Genomic DNA, 19,879 nt, shown 5'->3' on the forward strand with positions numbered 1-19,879 from the left:
AAATACATTTTCTAGAAGCAAAAAAGTTCCCTTATAGAGGTAAGTTCAGTCAACTTACATTTTCACAGCCATCTCCATAAGAGCTAAATATATAATCAAAAGGAAAACAAGTATTTTCCTTAGGAGGAAAGATATTCGTAGCTAAAAACAATTACTTAAAAGGAAGGGTCAGGTGCAATGACACACACCTGTCATCTCAGCACCTTGGGAGGCCAAGGTGGGAGGATCACCTGAGACCAGAAATTCTACACCAACCTGGGCAACATAGCAAGACCCAGTCTTTACAGGAAAAAAAAAAAAATTAGCAGGATGTGATGGTGCGCACCTTTGGTCTCAGCTTCAGGGGGTGGGGGTAGGGGACTGAGGTGGGAAGATCACTGAAGCCCTAGTTACAGTGAGCTGTGATCCTGCCACTGCACTCCAGACTGCGTGACAGAGTGAAACCCTATCTCTAAAATAAACTGAAATTGAATCAAAATAAAAGAAAGGAATCAATAAGGCCAATGACAGCACTGCACAGTGGGGTCTTCCCGGATTCTTTGAAATCCCAGAAGTTCTGAGACAAGCATTTTTAAATAATCCTATATCATAATGACCTCTGACAAATGAATTTTGGCTGAACTACATAGTTGTTGGTCACACATAAGATGGTACTAAGATATCTTGCCCCAATTTTTTCATGACAAGAATCCCTATCCAAAATAATAATCCTCAATTACCTATGAATGTTGGTATTAATCTCAAGAATGGCCCTGAAAAAGACAAATAAATTTAGATCCATAAAGCCAACTTCAGTTGGGAATGACCAAGTCAAGCATTACTCGATAATCTTTTCACTGTGGGCCTTATTTATACTAGGCAGTCTTGCTTTAAAAATAGAAAATGCCAAGCTTGAAACCATTTCATTTGAAACAAATGGTTAGCCCATGCAAAGGCTTCCTGAAAGCCAAAATACAGAAAATTTATCTTCTTTCAACACTGGTCTCTATTTCTGCCTACCTGCTCAGTTTTATAACCCATATAAACCAGATGAGAATTCTATTGTACATACAAAGCATATGTTAACAGTGCTTAAGACTCAAATTTTTCAAACTTACATAAATGTAATATGTCTAACTTAAAGTATTGTAATAACGCATTAAAGTGGTAATTAAATCTCTGAATGCTTATTTATATAAAAGCATGTATATTTTCTTGAACCCCGACCTCAAGTGATCTGCCTGCCTTGGCCTCCCAAAATGCTGGGATTACAGGCATGAGCCACTGCGCCTGGCCTTTTTTAGTTTTTTTGTTTTTGAGATGGAGCCTTGCTCAAAACATCTATGTTTTCATGTCTAGTTCCAAATATATTCTCTTGCTTTGAAGATAACTGTTAAAATATTACACTATGACTGAGACAGAAAATACAACTAGGAAGCAATGAACACAAAATAGAAAAAAGAATTGTGCTGTGGGCTTGAGAAAAAAATAAGTAAAAACCATTATGCAAACTCTGTTAACAGAAAACCCACCAAAAGGAAAAATACTTGTTTTCTAATTTCATTTTGGATACTCTACCAGAAGAAGAAAATTAAATTAGTACTTTTAAGAGTATGTACATAACAAACACTACAAAACTATCCCTTGTAGCAATACTGTTAACTTCCAGTAAAGAGAAATAAGGTTTATCTTAGAGGCTTCACCTATACAGCTGTAAAAATACTCTCTGGTAACATTTCAGCACCATGGTACAAGTGAGGGAAATACAGGACAGGTAGTCTGAGTAATATCAACTTCCTAAGAAATAAATTTGTTTTTAAGTTTAACAGAGCTTAAAAATCTGGGAAACAGTATGGCAGTTCCCCCAAATAAGTAAACAAATAAATATAGAATTACCATATGATACAGCAATTCTAATTCTAGGTATACTGTATATCTAAAGAATTGAAAGCAGGTACTCCCACAAGTATTTATACACCCATGTTCATAGCAGCATTATTCACAAAGGTGCAAGCAAGTGTCCATTGATGGATAAATGGATAAGCCAAACGTGGTATATATACATACAACGGGATATTATTCAGCCTTAAAAAGGAAGGAATTTCTGACAATGCTACGCACATGGATGAACCCTGAAGATATTATGCTAAGTGAGAATAGCCCATCACAAAAAGGCTAAATACTGTATGATTCCACTTACATGAGGTACCAAGAATAGTCACATTCATAGAGACAGAAAGTAGAATGGTGGTTGCCAGGGATTGGGGCGGGGAGCAAATGGGCACCTATTTTGTTTAGTGGGCATAGATTTAGTTTTACAAGATGAAAAAGTTTTGAAGATGGATGATGGTGATGGTTGCACAACAATGTCAATGTATGTAATACCACTGAACTGCACACTTAAAAATGGTTAAAATGACTGGGCACGGTAGCTCATGCCTGTAATCCCAGCTACTTGGGAGGCTGAGGAGGCAAGATAGCTTGAGCCTGGGAGTTTAAGGCTGCAGTGAGCTATGATCGCACCACTGCACTCCAACCTGGGCAACAGAACAAGACCCTGTCTCAGAAAAAAAAAAAACGTTAAAATGCTAAATTTATGTTTTGAATGTTTTGCCACAAAAAAAAAAAAATCTATAAAACCTACTTTCCATTTCCTCCATAAACATCAGTGCAATCAATCACTGTAAAAGAATGCTGAAGAAATATCTGAAAAACTTTGGAAAAACTATTGTAATTAGAAAATATAGTAGTACCCTGATAATTTTACATCCTAAATCAAACTATCAACTTTGGCCCAAGGCCTGGCAAGACAAGAAACTAATCAAAATATGGAGAAATGCCACCACATAACAGACTACCATGGCAACAGAAATACTGTCACAAAATCACAAACATAGACTCCAATACTTCAAAGACATGAAATGTTCTATATTTGTACCGTACAGTACTTGGAATGTGGGTAAGTGCAAATAAGAAACTGATTTTAGGCCGGGCGCAGTGGCTCATGCCTGTAATCCCAGCACTCTGGGAGGCTGAGGTGGGTGGATCACGAGATCAGGAGATTGAGACCATTCTGGCTAACACAGTGAAACCCCATCTCCACTAACAATACAAAAAATTAGCCAGGCATGGTGGCATGCACCTGTAATCCCAGTTACTCGGGAGCCTGAGGCAGAATTGCTTGAACCCGGGAGGTGGAGGTTGCAGTGAGCCAAGATTGCACCACTGCACTCCAGCCTGAGTGACAGAGTGAGACTCCGTCTCAAAAAAAAAAAAAAAAAAAAAAGAAACTGATTTTAACTTTTACTTAATTTTAAGTTTAAATAGTCACACTAGACTGGTGGCTACTACACTGGATGACACAGCTACATTGGTACACTCTCTGGGAGAAAGATCTTTGGTTTTCATTATTTACATACTCCCAGTTTCTATCAGTGCAAGGCACAGAGTATTCCTAGACTGAACTCATCTACTGAAGTTGTATAGGAATATTTTCTATTTTCTAGAAGGCTTTCCTTTCAAAAGCATGTTTTGACTGGAAGGTGCAAGCATAAGCACACACAAAAAATGCCTAAACTTTCAAGATAAATCAGTAATGACCAGAGAAAAGCCAAAAACCCTAGGTTTTATAACCAGGCTAAAGAATCAATAAATTCCAAAAAGGAAAAGTACTAGCAAAGAAGTTTGAAGCTGATATTCCATGACCCATGTATTAATGTGTTCTCACACTGCTAATAAAGACATACCCAAGCCTGGGTAATTTATAAAGGAAAGGGGTTTAACTGACTCAGTTTCACATAGCTGGGGAGGCTTCACAATTATGGCGGAAGACGAAGGAAGAGCAAAGCGACGTCTTACATGGCGGCAGGCAAGAGAGAGCTTGTGGAGGGGAACTCACATTTATAAAACCATCAGAACTTGTGAGACTTATTCACTACCACAAGAACAGTATGAGGGAACCCCCCATCATGATTCAATTACCTCTACCTGGCCCCACCTTGCCACAAATCGGGGGGTATTATTACAAGGTGAGATGTGGGTGGGGACATAGCCAAACCATATCAACCCAAGACCTTTCTGATATGATATCTAAGAAGAAAATTCCTATGGACATGTGATAAACCAAACATGACAATGCCAACTTAGTCTATCAAAGCATGACTTTACTTCATCTGCTTTGTGCTTTTGATGCTTTCCATCAAAAAGCTGCATACACCCATGCTGAAGCATGCCTATTCAGTTTCCATACTGAACTATAAAACTTTTGAGGTAATATCTAACCCAAAGATTGTCTCTGTAAAAGTTATCTCCTACTTACAACTTAAATTAAAAACTTATAACTGAGTCGCTTAAGTAATTGGCCCTATGAAGAGATGGTCTTTCCTTCAATAGCTCTCTACAACTTCTACTAATTTTGGTTAGTAGGGGTGGACAAATGAAACTACTAAATATACAGGACAGGCTACTAAGATTCCTTTAAGATCTGCCTCAAAATACTCTCTTTCAGAACACTTTGAAGTTATCAGTGATATCTATCTATCACATAAAACAACCATGGCTGTACATCTCCAAAAATTTTGGTGGAAGTTTAGAGCAATGAATACAGATTCTTCAGAAAATGGCTGTTTTATACAAATATTAGAGAAAGAGAAAAGATGCTAACTCACAGTACAGGCTAAAGCATATTCAAATTATACCTCTATACCACGTCTACTGTCACCAGGTCATTCGAACTATACTCAATTACTCTCGGATTAGTTAGGTGGGGTGGTAGAGAAGAATAAGGATAATAGTTTCACAAATACATATTCTTGAAAGTAGTTTTTTAGCAAACCACACAAATTCTATGCCTTACCAATTTCAAATGGATGTTAAAACACTATAGTTATTACTACAGTTAAAACACGCTTTTGTTCCAGTAGACAAAATCTTCCGGAAAGAAAAAAACCACCACACACATTACTTTTGGTTACAAATGCCATTTAGTGACCACTTAAAGAGAGCCTTGGCCAGGCACAGTGACTCATGTCTGTAATCCTAGCACTTTGGGAGTCTGAGGTGAGAGAAGTGCTTGAGCCCAGGGGCTTGAGACCAGCCTGGGCAACATGGCAAGACCCTGACTCTACAAAAAATACAAAACATTAGCCAGGTATGGTGGTGCATGCCTGTAGTCCCAGCTGTCCAAGAGGCTGAGGTGGGAAGATCACCTGAACCCAGGCTCAGGTGAGCAAGGCTGCAGTGAGCAGTAATCACACCTCTGCGCTCCACAGCCTGGGTAACAGAGTGAGACCCTGTCTCAAAAAACTAAATAAATAGACCAGGTGCAGTGGCTCACACCTCTAATCCCAGCACTTTGGGAGGCCAAGGCGGCCAGATCACTTAAGGCCAGGAGTTTGAGACAAACCTGGCCAACATGGCAAAACCCCAATCTCTACTAAAAATACAAAAATTAGCCGGGCATGGTGGCATGTGCCTGTAGTCCCAGCTACTTGGGAGGCTGAGGCAAGAGAATTGCTTGAACCCAGGAGGCGGAGGTTGCAGTGAGCCAAGATGGTGCCACTGCACTCCGGCCTGGGCAACAGAGTGAGACTCTGTCTCAAAAAATAAATAAACAAAGAGAGCCTTATTGAGTCAAAAAGTTCCTCTCCCTTTCTGTACCTGAATATTTGCAAGTATGAAATGAGGGCAACATATACATCTCATAAAGGATTTAAAAAAAAAAAAGAAAGAAAAAAAAAGACTGGAAAGACTGAAGAGCATTAAAGGTGCTGAATATTGTTTATTTTTAACCATGTATATGGTGAAAAGTGACAGCAAAAATAAATAAAACTCGCAGATAAAGAAAAATGTGAGTTATCCAACTGAGTATCTGCATGTATGCACTTCTGACAATCAACATTTTTAAGAACCTGTGTGTGAAGTGTCTTGATTGTTTATCTTAATAACCATGGTTTATTTCTTCAACTATGGGTATTGGACTACATAAACAAATGTGACAAGAATCCCAGTCTAGTAGGGGAGGCAAAACACTTATTTTCAAAAAGGTTTATAAAAAGGCAAACACAATGAAGTAAAGTTCTCTAGGCATTCATTGGGGGCTGAAATCACTTTTGGCTGAAGAGAAGCAGGTAAGCCTTGAAGGAGAAAGCAGAATTTAGGTTGGGCTTTCAAAAGATGAGTTAGTTTCTGCATTTGAAGAAAGGGTTGGGAAAGGGTAAAAGCAGAGAAGAAAGTAAAGTTGGGCAAAGGCGGCATCCACTCTACCCCAAAATATTTGTGTACTATGAGAAATATTTCAGCTATTTGGATGCTGATGGGAAAGACTCAGTAAAGGAGTCTAAAGATGCAGACAAGACATAGGATAAACCAAAAGATCAAGGTCCCAGAAATTTCAGAAGATTGAGAGATGCAAAGCACCTAGATCTGACAAGAGGAGAAGCAGCTGCATACAACCATGCTGAAGTCTGACCAAATTGGAGGGGAAAGGTGATGGTGTATTTATAAAATGACTAGAATGATAGATCTTGGAATCCACATTTGGTAAGGAGAGAAGTAAAAACAAGAAGACCTAATAAAGAAGAAGTAAGGAACAGTCAATGAACTGAGGTTTTGATAAAATTCAAGAACTAATGCAGGGACTTCTGTTTAAAATGACTAAACTAACTGATTGAACACAGCTGTCTGCTTTCAGGTCCTTCCAAAAATCCAATAAAAATCAGAGTAAAGATCTTTTTTAAAAAAGGCAAAAACACATAAAGACAAAGAAAATGGAAACAGGTGACAGATATCAATAGAACTGTGGAAACTGGAAAGCTAAAGGACAGTGTTAACTGTCTTAGCAGATCCGAAAAGGCTGATATTTGCCTGGGGGTGGGGAGGGAGGATGAGACGAGAATAGGGAAGGCAAGGGACAAACTATTCATGTTGCAAAACCCAGGAAGACTGGGGAATTGGAAGCACAGGTACATCTGAAGGCAGATGCACAGGCGGAACAAAAAATAAAGGAGTGGAGCTGGATGTGGTGGTGTGCACCTGTAATTTCAGCTACTCAGGAGACTGAGGAGAGAGGATTGCCTGAGACCAAGAGTTCGGGTCCAACCTGGGCAATATAGCGAGACCCCAACTTTTCTTTTCTTTTTTTTCTTTTTTTAAAAAGGGTGAGGTGGGGTGGGCTGGGCGCAGTCACTCATGCCTGTAATCCCAGCACTTTGGGAGGCCAAGGTGGGCAGATCACAAGGTCAGGAGACCGAGACCATCCTGGCTAACATGGTGAAACCTTGTCTCTACTAAAAAATACAAAAAATTAGCTGGGCATGGTGGCAAGCACCTGTAGTCCCAGCTACTCTGGAGGCTGAGGCAGGAGAATGGCGTGAACCCGGGAGGCGGAGCTTGCAGTGAGCTGAGATGGCGCCACTGCACTCCAGCCTGGGAGACAGCGAGACTCTGTCTCAAAAAAAAAAAAAAAAAAAAGGGTGGGGGGGGAATCGGCTAGTAATGCAGCCTTAAAACAAAAAAAGAAAAAAGTTTAAATAAATAAAAGGGTCAAAATCTGTGTAAGAAGCAGTAGACTCCTAAATTTCCTCTCTGACTCTGAGCAACCAGGCTACTACTCTCCCACCATAACAGAAGACTCAAGGTTTACTGTGGAAAGATTGAAGTAGGTGGTCTCTGGACTCTTAGACAACAGACTCAGCTAAAGACAGGAGTATCATGCTGAAAAACAAGAGATTAAATTAAAACCTACATACTTAGTTGTGAGATCCATCCCCTGGCTTCATTCCCTGAACTGGCTTTAGAACACTGGCAGTCTAGCTTATAACCCCCAGGCTGACTAGAGAACTCAAGGTAAAAGCAGCCCAAGAAAAACAGACCAACAGAAAAGCAATGAGAGAAAGGATGAAGGTTCCCTTCTCGATGATCCATTAAATGGAAGAGTAACCCAAGAAAACATCATGGAATCCAAGAATCAGTGGATCCAGCACAACAAAGAGGCAAAGGGAATTCCCTAGGACAGTGTTTATGGAATCCCATGACAGTAATTATCCAACAGACCTAGCGAACCAGGCCAGACTGGAGCAGGGAAATGGAGGGCTCTTGGGATACATATTTCCTTTAGCCAAAAAAGAAAACAAATCACCAGTCTGAACAATGAGGATATTTACAGTACTGAGATTTGAGGGTGACTTATTGTGGATACCCAGAAAACAAAATGTTAAAAAAAAAAAGAGGTATTTGATTACCAACAGGAAAAAAAAGGTTCCACAAAATTTTGTTTTAAAAATAAAACTTAAATATTAGTAAAACTACATAAAGATTTCAAAAAAAACTAGGTGACATTATTTGATATTTTTGAGCCAGCAAACTGGAAAACAGTGGGTTATGATCACAGCAGAATGTCTGAATCAGTGATTTGGAGGTGTGGTGACTTTTTTTTTTTTTTTGTACAATCTTGCTGTTTCCCAGGCTAGAGTGCAGTAGCGAAATCATAGCTCACTCAGTCTTGAACTCCTGGGCTCAAGGGATCCTCCTGAGTAGCTGGGACTATAGGCAAATGTCACCACACCCAACTAATTTTCCTATTTTTTTGTAGAAATGAGGTCTCGCTATGTTGCCCAGGCTGGTCTTGAACTCCTGGGCTCAAGGGATCCTCCACCTTGGACTCCCAAAGTGCTGGGATTACAGGCAAGAGCCAATGGGCCTGGCCTGGCTGGCAACTTTTTTGTTTTTTTTGAAATGGAGTCGCGCTCTGTCGCCCAGGCTGGAGTGCAGTGACACAATATCAGCTCACTGCAACCTCCACCTCCTGGGTTCAAGAGATTCTCCTGCCTCAGCCTCCTGAGTAGCAGAGACTACAGGTGCGCACCACCACGCCCAGCTAATTTTTGTATTTTTAGTAGAAACGGGTTTTCACCATGTTGGCCAGGCTGGTCTCAAACCCCTGACCTCAAGCGATCCGCCCGCCTCAGCCTCCCAAAGTGTTGGGATTACAGGCGTGAGCCACTGCACGCCCAGCCTGGGTGGTGGCTTTTTAGTAAAGACAAGATCCAGGGTGTGATTGTGTGACCAGGTGGCTAAAGAGAATGAAGAGGTAAAGGAATCAGAAGGCCAAAGTGTTAGCTGAACTGTCAATCCAGATGCTGAAGTTGCCTAAACGTGATGTGTTACTGCTGGATATTTTCCAGATCCACTTTTCCACCCTCCTCTATCATGTTTTCTGCTCCAATAGGCTGACCTGTATAGACTTTACCAACAGGTCACTGTGCCCCTGGCTTCCGGTTGGGTTTGGCCAATGGGGAATCCCAGCAAGAAATTAAGAGAACAGGGTCAGGATATTCATTCCTCCAGCTTCATTCTCTCAAGGTCACCTGAAACTAGCTATGTCCCTTCGGCTGAAAGTCACCATTCCTCTCAAGGCAGCCAACTCCATACTTTTCAAGTAACTATTCCCTCTTTTATGGGATGTTAACCGTTCAGCTATAGGTTACCAAACTATTTCTTGTCACACCACTATACCTAAATCTTTATAATAGTATCTTTATAAAATAAACTCAGATTATCCTGTCAAGTGTGCCATCTGTTCCTGTCTGGACTCTGACTATTAACTGTGATGGTGAAGATGATGTAAGGTTGTAATAGAGTATTGGAAAGTAAGGAGAGAAAAGTGACTAATACTTAAATAACAATTGCTAACATTTTAATCTCTATGTTCCAAGAACTTTTCTAACCTCTTCGTAGAATATTAACTCATTTAATCACAACTACCTTCTGTGGTAAGCAGAGATTTTTGTCTGGTTCATTTCCAAATCCAAACACCCAGCATAGTTGCTGGCACATGGTAAGCACTCAAATATTGATTTAAAATACACACAACAAGCAGGTTTAATTAGAAAGAGATTACTTTTTTAGTATAGTGTAGCACTTCTCCTAATTACACTTTAGAAAACTATACAAAGATCAGGGAATTGTTGACTCTCCAGAGATCACAGAAACACTAAATGAGACCATATGTGAATGATTTTCTTGTGTAGCCTACAGTGAGTCGTATTCCTTTATTTTCTGAAGAGGACTTGGGTGCCAGTTTTTTAGGTTTAATATTCAAAGTCAAAGTTGCAGCGGGGGGCGATGGCTCACATCTATAATCCCAGCACTTTGGGAGGCCGAGGCGGGCGGATCACCTGAGGTCGGAGTTAGAGACCAGCCTGGCCAACATGGCGAAACCCCGTTTCTACTAAAAAATACAAAAATTAGCTGGGTGTGGTGGCGTGTGCCTGTAATCCCAGCTACTCAGGAGGCTGAGACAGGAGAATCACTTGAACCTGGGAGGAGGAGGTTGCAGTGTGCCGAGATAGCACCACTGCACTCCTCCAGCCTGGGCAACAGAGCCAGACTCTGTCTCAAGAAAAAAAAAAAAAAATTAGTCGGGTGTCAGGGCAGGCACCTGTAATCCCAGCTACTCGGGAGGCTGAGGCAGGAGAATCTCTTGAACCCGGGAGGAGGAGGTTGCAGTGAGCTGAGATGGGACCACTGCACTCCAGCCTGGGCGACAAAGCGAGACTCTGTCTCAAAAAAAAAAAAAAAAAAAAGGCAAAGTTGCTCCATACCAAGACCAGATTTTTAAAAAGTCAAAGTTGCAAATTTTTAAATATTATGCACTTGCAGCCTAGGAGCTGATTTAATAAGGCAGAGCACCTTTAAGTATCAGTTATGAGTTAAAATAAAGGGAAGGGGGCCAAAAAAAATATGGTTGTGAGTATAAAATGCAAAAATAAAGGTAAAGGTGAGTATTTTGTCAGCCTGTAAAAAAAGCCTCTTTAGTTTTCAAAGTACTTAATTTTTAAAGTACATCCTACATTAGAACCTAAGTCAGCCAGATAACCAAGAATACACATTTACACAGAAATGAAGCACAGCAAAGGTGTGAAAATTAGGGCAGGAAGCATAAAACATGAATCAAAGAATGCAGAAATACAACAGATATAAGCTACAATTAAATATCTCACCGGATGCACACACAGTTTTATATGGAATAATCAAAGCAGCAGTGATACCCATCTTATAAATAAAAATCTAAAAGCCAGAGAAATAACAAGGTTAGAGGATTAATATGAAACAAAATGAGAACTCCAAAGATTTTCTGAAAGCAGAATTACTGTTTTTTCTTCATATTATGTTGCCACTCCAAAGCAAGGGGAAAACTCGCATGAGTAAGAATCTAGAAACCTGAGAAGTTTCGAGAAGAACAGACTCAAACTGGAGTGAAAATAGGCAAAAAGAGTGAGGCATAAGGCTACGACTGGGAGCAAAATGCCAGATGCAAGTCTTGGACACGGAGGGGAGACGAATAAAGCCTTCTTAAGCGGAAGGTGGAGAAACACTGGGGTTGGATTTGGTGGGAGGAAGACAAAACGGAAAAGCACGGCCCAAGAAGCAACGGCAAAGGGAGAACTTAAACAAGATTAGATTGATGCCACAATCGAAGAGTATAAGACCTACAAATCAGATTCTGCCGGGTGGGGAAAGGGCCAGTTCGCGACCGATCAGGTGCGACTAGTTTCCCAAAAGCGGCAAAGATGTAGCTTCGCAGCCCCACCCCACGACAGCAGCTCCTCCCCAAGGAGGACCTCACGAGGTCAACTGCCGGGCTCAGGTTCTCCCCCGGAGCCTAGGTTCCACCCCGCCCCGGCCGTGCGGCACAGAACTGCCTCTCTGGGCCCCTCACCGAACGCTGCAGCTCCCCAAGCCAAAAAGAGGCGCGCTCCTTTCCGCTGGGATCTGGGTCGTGGTAAAGCGCCTGCACTGCCTGGTACACGAGCTGCAATGTCGGCTTTGCTCCTTCCATGGTGGTGGCGGTAGTGGCGGTAGCGACGGCTCTGATTCTTCTCCGGAGGATTCCTCGGTTGCTCCGCCTTCGCGCTTCCTCACTGTCTGGGCCACGGCCGCTCCCTGACTGGCGCCATCTCCTCCTCTTTGGCCGTTACCAGGGCAGAAGGCTCTCCGTGGAAGTTGCCCCCTCGGAAACAGCTATTAGGTCGTATTCAGGTTCCTGGCCTTTTTTCCGGTTTTTCCACTTGATTCTAGACTCTTGAGTCCACAGATTCTGGCGCTCCCGTCTTCAGTCGCTGACTTGCCCTCAGAAGCCTATCTTGGGAGGCCACACACCAGTGTACCTAAGGTTCGTTTACCCGGACCGGAAGCGACAGCACCGATACCTTTGGCACACTTCCGCCTGGTACACTACAAACGGCCTCCTTCCCGGCACGCCTCCTCTTGTCTCCCCGCCCCCTCCCGGAAGTAACCCTGCCGGGCCAGGAGCCGGGAAGAAGAGCCGGTGTTCTCTCTGTTCCTCGCTAGCAGCTTGGGACATTAGCGCCGAGATGTGCCCCATATCTGAGCTGCCTTCAGCTCCTTGGAAACGGATCCAGGTTTTTCCTACCCCTTCCGACTGCCCCATCCCTCTCCAGAGAATCCTTTTCTGCCCTGGTGATCAAGGCGCGTCAATTCAACTCTCCCTAGAGTGGCCACAGTACTGGAGATCCAAAGATGACTTAAGACATGGTACCTACGCTGGCTCTAGTGGAGGAGACAGACACGTAGTCAACTGAACTATTTTACAAACCTGAAATATGTGCCACATTGAGATAAATCCAAAATGCCTAGAATCTTTGTTCAGCTCCCCTTTACTTAGTTCTTAAGCCCAAAAGAGGTCTTCATTCTGCTTACAGCTCCTGGTGCTCTAACTCCAGAGCATTTTGCATACATCTTTAGGGTTATTCTCACATTGAACTGTATTTTTGTGAATGCCTTTCTGTCCGAATCCAATACCAGTGGTCTAACAATTCACAAAAGAAAACAGAAATATTGGAAACTGTACTATGGAGAAATTAGGGACAAAAGGTAACAGTATATTGATATTAACATTGCTGCTAGTCCTTTGCACTAGTAAATAACTGCTATTTGATAAATGATCACAATGTGTAAAACACTGTAGTTACAAGATCTCATTTAATCCGCCTAACAACCTTGCCAAGTATTAATAAAACCCGTTTTAGGCGCTGACACTGACCTACAGCGCCTCAGCTCCAGCGCCATGGCGCCCTCCAGGAAGTTCTTCGTGGGGAGGAACTGGAAGATGAACGGGCGGAAGAAATGTCTGGGGGAGCTCATCGGCACTCAGAACGCGGCCACTGTGCCTGCCGACACCAAGGTGATTTGTGCTCTCGCCACTGCGTATAACGAGTTGGCCCGGCAGAAGCTAGCTCCCAAGATTGCTGTGGCTCCGCAGAACTGCTACAAAGTGACTAATGGGGCCTTTACTGGGGAGATCAGCCCTGGCATGGTCAAAGACTTAGGAGTCACGTGGGTGGTGTGGTCCTGGGGCACTCAGAAGGCGTGTCTTTGGGGAGTCAGATGAGCTGATTGGGCAGAAAAGTGGCCCATGCTCTGGCAGAGAGACTCGGAGTAATCGCCTGCATTGGGGAGAAGCTAGATGAAAGGGAAGCTGGCATCACTGAGAAGGTTGTTTTTGAGCAGACAAAGGTCATCGCAGATAATGTGAAGGACTGGAGCAAGGTCATCTTGGCCTATGATCCCGTGTGGGCCACTGGTACTGGCAAGACTGCAACACCCCAACAGGCCCAGGAGGTACACAAGAAGCTCCGAGGATGGCTTAAGTCCAACATCTCTGATGCAGTGGCTCAGAGCACTGGTATCATTTATGGAGGCTCTGTGACCAAGGCAACCTGCAAGGAGCTGGCCAGCCAGCCTGACGTGGCTGCCTTCCTCATGAGTGGTGTTTCCCTCAAGCCCGAATTCGTAGACATCATCAATGCCAAACAATGAGCCCCATCCGTCTTCCCTACCCTTCCTGCCAACCCAGGAACTAAGCAGCCCAGAAGCTGAGTGACTGCCCCTCCCCTGCACATGCTTCTGATGGTGTCATCTGCACCCTATTGTGGCCTCATCCAAACTGTATCTTCCTTTACTATGTATACCTTCACCGTGTAATGGTCGGGACCAGACCAATCCCTTCTCCACTTACTGTAATTGTTGGAACTAAATGTCACCAATGTGGCTTCTCCTTGGCTGAGAGGTGAAAGGGATGGAATTTGCTCCTGGGTCCCCTAGGCCCTAGTGAGGGGAGGAGAGAGAACCCATCCTCTCCCTTCTTACACTGTGAGGCCAAGCAGAAGCCAGGGGTGCTGCCCTCTCCCACGGTGCCAACGCCTTTGTGTGTTGTGTATGTGAGCCATCCCACATGTGAGGGAAATAAACCCCTGGCACTTAAAAAACAAACAAAAAAACGCATTTTAAAGAAAGAAAAATAGTAATGTAATTTGCCCAAGGATACAGTTCTTAAAGTTAGGATTTGAATCCAGATCAGTGTTGCTCCAAAACCTGTTAAATCACACAATCCCTATCATCTTGTGCATTCGTTTGCTTCTGAATTGTTAGTCAAGGAATTTTTAACTGCCAACAACATGATGAAAACAATGTTACTGCACAGAGTTGATACAATTTTAGACAGAAAAAAGAAACTTGATATTTTGGTTACCTAATCCATTCATTCATTAAAAAAAAATTTAGTGCTGGGCTTGGTGGCTCACAACTGTGTAATCCCGGCATTTTGGGAGGCCGAGGCAAGAGGATTACCTTTGAGGCCAGGAGTTCAAGACCATCCTGGGTAATGAAATGAGACTCCATCTCTACAAAAAAAAATGCAAAAAAATTAGCAGGGCATGGTGGTGGGTGCTTCTAATCCCAGCTACTCAGGAGGCTGAGGTGGGAGTATTGCTTTAGCCCAGGAGGTGGGGGTTGCAGTGAGCAGAGATTGTGCCACTGCACTCCAGCCTGGGAAACAGTGAGACCATATCTCAAAACAAATTTTTTTGTGTGTATCAAAGGACACTATCAAGAAAGTGAAGTAACAGTCCACAACATGGAAGGGAATGTGCAAATAACATATCTGATAACTGATTAGTATCCAGAGTATATAAAGAACTCTTACAATTCAACAATGAAAAGACAACTCAGTTTTTGGGTTTGTTTTGTGTGTGTGTGTGTGTGTGTGTGTGTTTTGTTTTTTTGTTTTGAGTTGGAGTCTTGCTCTGTTGCCCAGGCTAGAGTACAATGGCACAATCTCAGCTCACTGAAACCTCCACCTCCTGGGTTCAAGCGATTCTTGTACCTCATCCTCCCACGTAGTTGGGATTACAGGTGCCCACAACCATGCCTGGCTGATTTTTGTATTTTTAGTAGAAACAGGGCTTCACCACGTTGGCCAGGTTGGTCTCGAACTCCTGACCTCAAGTGATCCACCCGCCTCAGCCTTTCAAAGTGCTGGAATTACAGGCGTAAGCCACCATGTCTGGCCTCAGATAATTCAGTTTTTTAAATGGGCAGTGAATTTGAATAGACATTTCTTCCAAGAAGATATACAAATGCACATGAAAAGATGCTCATCATTAGCCCTCAGGGAAATACAAATCAAAACTGCAATGAGATACAACTTCACACCCACTAGAAAAACTAAAATTTAAAAAATGATAAATGCTGGTGAGAATGTGGACAAATCAGAACTCTCATGCACTATTCATGGGATTGTATCATGGTGCGGCCATGTTGAAAAAGTTTGGCAGCTCTTCAAAAAAATGTTAAACATAGAATTATCATATGAACCAGCAGTTCTACACTTAGGTATATACTCAAGAGAAATGATAACGTGTGTGCATACAAGCACTTGCACGTGCATATTCATAGCAGCATTATTCATAATAGACGGCAGAAACAGCCCCAATATCCGTCATTTGATGCATGGATAAACAAAGTGTGCTATATCCATACAATGAAAGGTTATTTGACCCTTAAAAGGAATGAAGTACAGATAGATGCTACAATATAGATAAACTTGAAAAATTATGCTAAGTGAAAGTGGCCAGACACAAAAGGCACATTAATTACGCGATTCTATTTACATAAAATGTTCAGAGTAGGCAAAATTCTAAATATAGACAGTAGATTGGTCATTTCCAGGGTTGGTTTTTTGTTTTGGGTTTTGTTTTTTTTTGTATTGATGGAAATAAATGCTCTGGAATTATTGACGATGTTCAGAAAAACCTCATGAATATATTAAAAACCACTGGCATATGTTTTTTATATGTTTTAAAAGGATGAGTTTTATGGCAATGTGAACTATATTTCAATAAAACTTATTTTTAAAAGTTCTATGGTTAGGAATTATTAAAACACCACATGGATATTTAGCTAACAGTTGGAGAAAAAAGAAAAAAAAATAGAGGTGATACCTAACCCAGAGTAGAGAGATTGGTAACACCATCTGGAGAAATTATGTCTAAACTGAGACCAGACTGATAGATAAATAGGAAGCAATTAGGCAAAGGGTTTAGTATTGTAGGCAGAGGCAACAGTATGAAAGCCTGGAGGCAAGGGAAAAAATTACCTTCTGAAGACTGAAAGTAGCTGAAGGATAGAGTTGACATTGGGTAGGAGTAAGAAATGAAGCTAAACAGTGTTTAACCCATCTTTGTGACCTCATGCCATTACCTGATACATAGTGGGTGCTTAGCAAATGTCTTAAGTGACATGTTTCTTTGTTCCTTAGTCTTAAAAAAAAAAAAAGTCTAGTTTGACATGAAATGGCTTGGGCAGGGAAGGTGGCTAGAACAGAAATAAGAAAAGATTGTAATAATCGTGGTGAGGAGTGATGGTAGCCTGGAGTAAAGTGTTGGCGGTGGGCATGGAGATAGAGAGGTATTTAGGAACTTCAGAGGAAGAATCTTGATATGGTGATTACTTAAGCTGCAAGGTGTGACAAGAGGGAAGAAAACCCAGGCTTTTGAGATATGGAACCTAAAGGAAGAAATGGCTTTTATGGAAACAGAAAGGGATATGAGGATGAAGATAAGTTTAATCTTAGCCATGTTGAATATTGAGGCACTTAACAGACAGCCAAGACCAGCAGGCTGTAGCATGTGTGGGACTGAAGCCCAGGGGGTGGGTTGAAAATCCAGATTTGCGAGTTGTCAGTTTCTAGTTGGTGGCTAAAGACAAAGGAGTGATTGAGACGCGCATCTTTAAGCACCAAATAAATGCACCAGAGATGTCGAATATTGTTAGAAAATACATTTGAAATAAAATATTAGAAATATATAAAATATTTAAAATATCAAAACCCCATAACTTTTGTCATTAGGCACAATGGTAACCCTAGGAAAACTGGACTCTAATGCAAAGTTTCATGAGACCAAACCCACCCCCAACAAAAAGAGCCCTGACTCCTTCCTTCTGCAAGCAAGCTAAATATGGATTCTCTGAAGGAAAGAAGGAAAGAGATAATGAGTGTTTCTTTTACTGACTTGGGGTGAGATTATCCAAAGATTGAGGGCTGTACCTCAAGCACTCCAGTTCTCTACAGGCAATGCCATGAAGCCTTCCATAAAAGCTTTGATCTGGCCAGGCGAGGTGGCTCACACCTGTAATCCCAACACTTTGGGAGGCTGAGGTGAGTGGATCACCTGAGGTCCGGAGTTTGAGACCAGCCTGGCCAACATGGCGAAATCCCGTCTCTACTAAAAATGCAAAAATTAGCCAGGCGTGGTGGCATGTGCCCATAATCCCAGCTACTCAGGAGGCTGAGGCAGGAGAGTCACTTGAACCCGGGAGGCGGAGGTTGCAGTGAGCCAAGATCGTGCCACTGAGCTCCAGCCTGGGCAACAGAGCAAGATTCTGTACCCCCGACCCCCCGCCAAAAAAAAGCTTTGATCTGCCATGAGAAGGCACCCATGATTTGTGGTGAACCTCAGGTTACAATAATAAGCGTAGGTTGTGGCCCCACAGAGGCCTCCTTAATTCTCTTGTAGCCTCTTGACACCCACCCCACCCCACATCATCCTCCAACCTCAGGGTAAAGTGAGCCACTGCACTTTGGGGAGAAGTTGCAAAGGCAGTGTGTCAGAGGCCAGTGGTTTTACTCTAATACCCATTGTTTTCTTTCCTAGAGTTCTTTGAAGAAATATTCTTTTTTTCTCAAGCTAATTCAAATTAAGTTTCTGTCACTTCCACCAAGAATTCTGAAGTCCAACTTCATCAAAATCTTAGCTCGACTTACCATAACAAAATACCAGCTTGAAGAAGGGAAATTTATTTTCTTACAGTTTTGGACGCTGGAAGTTCGAGATCAGGGTACCAGCCTGATCAGGTTCTGGAGAGGGCCCTCTTCCTGGCTTGCAGATCACCACTTTCTTGCTCCTCTTCTTGTAAGGCCACAGTCCTCTTGGATTAGGGCTCTACCTTATACCTCATGTGACCTTAATTACCTCCTAAAGACACTATGTCTGGATACAGTCACATTGGGGGCTAGGGTGTCAACATATGAATTTTGGGGGGACACAACTCAGTCCATAACATCTGTCATTATGCCCACTGGCCTTGGAGAGTTAGTAGAAGGCCCTCATCCTTGCCCGAAAGAATACGATAACATCAGACTTCTTTGGTACACAGATTATAGTAAAAGTTCAGGCAAAGCCATGCTGACTGCACTAGGGACAGGGATATGTTATGCTTCACTGAAAGACAATACCTTGATTCTTTTGTAGCTGATAAGCATGATGACTGGAGTTTCACGTGCATGTGTGAGATATACCTCCCTCCAACCTTGTTACCACATCTGCACATTACCTGCCTGATGTGAACAAAAGAAAAGAAAGATTTTTTTTTTTAAAGACCATGCCTTTGAATTGGATTTCACAGCTCCCTGCTAGGAAAACAAGCAGTCACAATTTTCTCTGGTAGTAACGGGACACTTACAGGATAAAAAGATGTATGCATAAGAATGTTCATCCTAGTGTGGTTTCCCCTAATGAAAAAGTAGAAATATCCTCAATGTCCATCAATAGGCATCTTGATGTCCATCAAGAACTTTAGGATATATGCATGCTTTGGATACTAGACAGCCACTGAAAATCAAGCAGAAATGACTCTCATTAATTTTGTTACATATGGTAATGATATTGGGGCTATATAGGAAAATGTCCTTACTTATTTAGAGGTACAGACAGTCCCCGACATGATTTTTTGACTTTATAGTGGTGCAAAACAGCTACTTGTGGGGGCTGAGGCAGAAGAATCACTTAAGCCAGGGAGGTTGAGACTACAGTGAGCCGAGATCACACCACTGCACTTCAGCCTGGGTGACAGAGTGAGACCCCGTCTCTAAAAAAAAGAAAGAAAGAAAGGAAAAGAAAAACAAAAATCATAAATTGAAAATGCACTTTTTATGTGTGAGATAGGGTCTCACTCTGTCACACAGGCTGGAGTAAAGGAGCGCAATCTCAGCTCACTTCAGCCTCGACCTCCCACGCTCAAGTGATTCTCCTGCCTCAGCCCCTCAAGTGGCGGGGACCACAGGCCTGCACCACCACACCCGGCTAATTTCTTTTTACTTTTGGTAGAGAGGTTTCACCATGTCGCCCAGGCTGGTCTCAAACTCCTGAGCTCAAGCAATCCACCCGCTTTGGCCTCCCAACATGCTGGGATTACAGGTGTGAGCCACTGTACCCGGTCTGCACTTTTGACTTACAATAACTTCAATGTACTATGGTTTTGCATATACTAAAATACTTAGGCACAATGTAGTATAATAAAGAATATATCAAGTCTTCATCCCCCATTCCTGGCACAGTGCTTCAAATGCTCTTGAAATTTTCCAAGTGATGGCAATGCCTTTGTTACAGTAATGAAGTGACTCTGTGCAGACCCCTAGATATCTTCAGGATGAGGTTTGGTGACCAGAAAGACCAACCATGTGTTTAGAAGGTTGGGACTCTGGGCCCCTTGGAACTCTGGTAGGAACTCTAGGAGAGAGAGGAGCTTAAGATGAGTTCAA

General features: G+C 42.5%; 1 protein-coding gene, 1 non-coding gene and 1 pseudogene across 31 annotated transcripts in view, besides 4 other annotated features; 2 read left to right on the top strand and 1 right to left on the bottom strand.

Annotated features, from left to right (window-relative positions):
- Positions 1–13,241, bottom strand: part of TNPO3 (transportin 3) — a 102,009-nt gene extending 88,768 nt beyond the window's left edge. For 28 of the 29 annotated variants that reach the window (NR_167917.1, NR_167913.1, NR_167925.1 and 25 more), the window contains exon 1: positions 11,699–12,159. Coding sequence is in view for 10 of the 29 variants with exons in the window: in NM_001382221.1 (NP_001369150.1) it covers positions 11,699–11,818 (120 nt within the window). In the remaining 19 variants the exon portion in view is untranslated. Of the gene's footprint in view, positions 1–11,698; positions 12,160–13,042 lie in introns of those variants that run through there. The other variant, XM_047420091.1, reaches the window with a different exon arrangement.
- Positions 11,692–12,191: an enhancer, noted in NCBI's record as "active region_26616". NCBI's record gives its function as "activates an Ori minimal core promoter by ATAC-STARR-seq in GM12878 lymphoblastoid cells {active_cell/tissue: GM12878}" and the evidence as "EXISTENCE:reporter gene assay evidence [ECO:0000049][PMID:35858748]".
- Positions 12,271–14,287, top strand: TPI1P2 (triosephosphate isomerase 1 pseudogene 2; annotated as a pseudogene). Its single transcript, NR_002187.3, has one exon. The product of NR_002187.3 is annotated as a triosephosphate isomerase 1 pseudogene 2 (transcript).
- Positions 13,003–13,297: an enhancer, noted in NCBI's record as "tiled region #4017; HepG2 Activating non-DNase unmatched - State 3:PromF". NCBI's record gives its function as "activates a minimal TATA promoter and a strong SV40 promoter by Sharpr-MPRA in HepG2 cells {active_cell/tissue: HepG2}" and the evidence as "EXISTENCE:reporter gene assay evidence [ECO:0000049][PMID:27701403]".
- Positions 13,003–13,297: a silencer, noted in NCBI's record as "tiled region #4017; K562 Repressive DNase matched - State 1:Tss". NCBI's record gives its function as "represses a minimal TATA promoter and a strong SV40 promoter by Sharpr-MPRA in K562 cells {active_cell/tissue: K562}" and the evidence as "EXISTENCE:reporter gene assay evidence [ECO:0000049][PMID:27701403]".
- Positions 18,240–18,409: an enhancer, noted in NCBI's record as "experimental_97561 CRE fragment used in MPRA reporter constructs". NCBI's record gives its function as "activates a minimal promoter by MPRAs in K562 erythroleukemia cells, with activity observed for the non-introgressed 7:128701331 variant allele {active_cell/tissue: K562}" and the evidence as "EXISTENCE:reporter gene assay evidence [ECO:0000049][PMID:34662402]".
- Positions 18,579–18,682, top strand: LOC124901836 (small nucleolar RNA U13). Its single transcript, XR_007060672.1, has one exon. It is a non-coding gene; the product is annotated as a small nucleolar RNA U13 (small nucleolar RNA).
- Positions 18,683–19,879: the final 1,197 nt, after the last annotated feature.

Source organism: Homo sapiens, chromosome 7 (genome assembly GCF_000001405.40).
Source record: "Homo sapiens chromosome 7, GRCh38.p14 Primary Assembly".
Classification (NCBI taxonomy): domain Eukaryota; kingdom Metazoa; phylum Chordata; class Mammalia; order Primates; family Hominidae; genus Homo; species Homo sapiens.